Below are 3,932 nucleotides of genomic sequence, written 5' to 3' on the forward strand. Positions count from 1 at the left end.
GGGTGGCTGGGAGAGGCTGGTATTTTACTTCTCAGTTGGGTAGCCCATTAGCCAGGAGGATTACTGATTTATCCTTGGATTCCAGGACAAAGAATAGAGGAATTGAAGAGATAGCCATGTTGAGAGTAGGGTGGAGACGAAGCTGCTTGCACATATACCTTCAACGTGACAAGAAAGTTTGAGTTTGATTAAATTGATGAAACATATGGAAGGTAGCTGGCTTTTCTATCCTGCTGACAGCCCACTTCAGAGAGCTGCCCAGCAGTGAGAAACAGAGAAATGACCCAGATTTGGCAGAAGCGGGGGAGGAATTTGGGAAAGACTGACAGGAAGGTTGTATCTCTTCTGAGATCTTTTCAAAACAAGCTGCCATGGTGCCTCTCACTTGAGCTTCCCTGTCCATGAGGAAGTGAGCATTTGGGTTCCTGCCATGCAGCCAGTCTAGTGGGAAGAGGCAGTGACACTCATCAAAGGGTGGATTGCAGTCTTGGCTAGTAAACTCGGGTCTATAGTCCCCTCTCTCTTTTTTTTTTTGACCCACAAACTGAAGGAACAGAGGGAAGGAGGGGTGTCAGGACTGGGTCACATATCACCACTCTCCATTCCAAACTCAAGATGTGCTTGAGTTGTGGGTGGAGATGGGAGAGGACATCTTTGAATTAAGTTTGAGATTGAGTAGCTTTGAGTCTTAAAAATCCAAAAGAGAACAATTTAATACATTAAACAGGCTGAAGAATATGGAATCTGCACATGTGTACTGTTTTCTGCTAAGTATTCTGGGGAGCGTTAAGTCATCCATGGATCCTCTCCCCAAAAAGTTGAGGTATGGTAGGAAAGGAAACATTAAATCTATTTACACAAGTAAGTGGAAAACAATAAAGCAGAGAGAAAGTCATGAGAAAAAAAACAAATGAAGTTTTAAGACTGTTTAGGGAATGAAGAGATTCTGTATTATTTCAGGGATCAGAGTAAGTTTCACAGAAGAGGCAGAATTTGAGTTTAGGAGGATGGTAAAAATTTAAACACTTAGAACCTGGTAGGGATGATGTTCAGGCAAAGGATGAATCCAAGTGCAGCAGCAGAAGGACATGCTTATGGCCTGGGAGGAAGTGGTTTGGGTGGAACCACTTGAAAGTAAGAGATAAAAGAATATTTGGTCAGATGATAGAAAGCCTTGAGTGTCATTCTAGGCAGAGTAGATTATAATTTGGGCAATGAAAAGTCTTTGGAGTTTCTAACCTGGGCATTATTATGAAATAGATGAGGCAGCTTTTGTCAGAGGCAAATAGTCTGGAAGCTGCCAGTCGCTGACCTTCAAAGCCTGAGAGTTGTGGAGATGAATATCTCAATATACGTGTAGCAAACCTAGCCCACTGTGCCCACTCTGTGTCAGGCACAGTTTAATTGTTGGAATACAAAAATGAGCTGAAGATAAAATTCCCTGCTCTTCCATTCTAATATGGGAAGTAGAAAATGAAAGAACACCTTTATATGATAATGCCGGGAGTGATGAGTGCTAGGTAGAATAAAGGAAAGAGTGTGGTGGTAGGCAGTGTTCCTCCCCAGAAGTGTGACACTCATGGTGGCCTGAGTGAAGTCGTGAGATAAAGATCAAGAGGATTCTAGTAACACAGGTTTGAACTGTTTGAGGAACCACAAGAAGAGCCATGAGGCTGTACGAGAGAGTGAAGCAGAGAATGGTAGGAGATAAAGTTGCAGTTGTAATCAAGGTCAGAGCATGTGGAGTTTGGCAGCTTATAATAAAATGTTTATTTTGCATGCAATGGAAAGGCAGTGAAGATGTTTGAACAGTAGAGTGACATGGGCGAATTTATGTTTTCCAAAGATCATCTGCTGTGGGAGAATAGACTGTATTGGGCAAGAGAAGAAGAAAGGGGACACTTTAGGGGGTCTGTGACCATGGTCCAGGTTTGCGCCAGGCTGTTAGCAATCGCAGTGGAGAGAAGTGGCTGGATTTAAGAAATGCTTTGAAAGTGAGAATAAAAGGAATTGAGAGAAACTAGAGTTGGAATATGAGAAGAAGAGAGACATCTGACTGATTTTTACATTTTTTGTCTTGAAAATGAAATGAATACTTGCTGAGATGTGGAAGTTTAAGGACAAAGTGCATTTGGAGTAAGGGTTTGAGGTACTTTTTAAACATTCAAATGGAAATATCGGGCCAGAAATTGGATATGCAGATCTGAGAGAGTGGAGAGGACAGGAATGGAGTTGTGAATTTTGGAACCTACCTTCCTACAGTATTTAAACCAGAGACTAGAATGAAAGAATTTAATATAAAGTGAAGATAAAAAATAAAAGAAAGAGGAACTAATATTTGTTTTAATCCTGCTAATTGTCAAGCTTTATACTAGTAAAGATGCTTTTACTACATAGTATCATAAGGTAGATATTATTAGTCCCCATTTAATGTTGAGGAAATTGGGGTCTTAAAGATGTTAAGTAGCTCAAAAATTATGTAGCATGAAAGTGAAATAACTGGGATTCTGTTCCAGATCTTCTTGATGCCTATATTAGTCTGTTCTCATATTGCTAATAAAGGCATACCCCAAACTGGGTAATTTATAAAGGAAAGAGGTTTAATTGACTCACAGTTCCACATGGCTAGGTAGGCCTCACAGTCATGGCGGAAGGCAAATGAGGAGCAAAGTCACGTCTTACACGGCAGCAGGCAAGAGAGCTTGTGCAGGGGAACTCCCATTTATAAAACCATCAAATCTCATGAGACTTATTTACTACCAACCATCAGAATAGTATGAGGGAATCTGCCCCCAAGATTCAATAATCTCCACCTGGCCCCACCCTTCACACATGGGGATTATTACAATTCAAGGTGAGATTTGGGTGGGGACACAGCCAAGCCATATCATTGCCTACTTAGGCCACAGGTGACACAACTTTAGACCAGTAGCGATGAGTGCAGGAGATGGGGAAAAACCACGTTATGCAAGCAGTTAAAGATAACAGAGATTTGAAGCTTAAGCAAGTGACAAAATAGTGAACACTCTCTAGAATCAGAAAATTCTATGTTTTTCCTGAAGTCAGAGTCTCCTTTTCCATGTTTTGCTTTGAACCACCTTGTGGAGCTATGAACTGATGTATTCGTGGGAAGGGAGTTCATGCTGCATATGCCATGTCCACATGGTGGTGATGTGCCATGCCAGTGACTTAAAACTTGCCAATAATTGATGTGTGGCTTTACAAATAATCAGCTCATAAATGATCCTTGATATTGCCCACTCTAAAGGTAGGGGCTAAATTCCTCCAGTAAAAGAGAGTCTCCCATTGCTCAGTGGCAGTTTCTTAAGATTTATGTGGAGTTCTGAAAACTTTGAAGAAAATTCCTTCCAGATTGTCTTCAGAGAATGTTTCTGACGTTTCAGAGTAGTCCTGGTAACATCTGGGTAAAACGAGTCACTTATTCATATCTTACACTTTCTGTGTTAGCATAAGGTTGCCTTAATACACAACCACACTGTGATCCACTACATTCTGTTCTTCTACTCAATTTCTGATGCCTACATCTCATTTAATCCCTTGGTGGCACCTAAGTTTAATGACATTGCATCTTATTAATGATGTCTTTCCAGCTGACATTGTAAACTAAAATTTTTGTATAATTTCTTGAGAATTTAAACCTGGGCTTTGTAGTGTGTTAGCCCTTAGCCACGTGTGGTTATTTATACTTAATTAAAGTTAAATGAAATGTAAAATGCTGACCCTTGGTCACACCATCCCCATTTCTAGTACTCAACAGGAACATATGGCTAGTGTCTACTCTTTTGGACAGACAGGAAGTAGAATATTTTGACCATCAGAGAAAATTTCTATTGAACAGGACTGTTTTTAAAAAGCCCCAATGTTCTGCTCATTTACCTCACACGTTCCCTGTTTTGTAAATAAGTCAACTC

This window comes from Homo sapiens, chromosome 15 (assembly GCF_000001405.40).
Source record: "Homo sapiens chromosome 15, GRCh38.p14 Primary Assembly".
Classification (NCBI taxonomy): domain Eukaryota; kingdom Metazoa; phylum Chordata; class Mammalia; order Primates; family Hominidae; genus Homo; species Homo sapiens.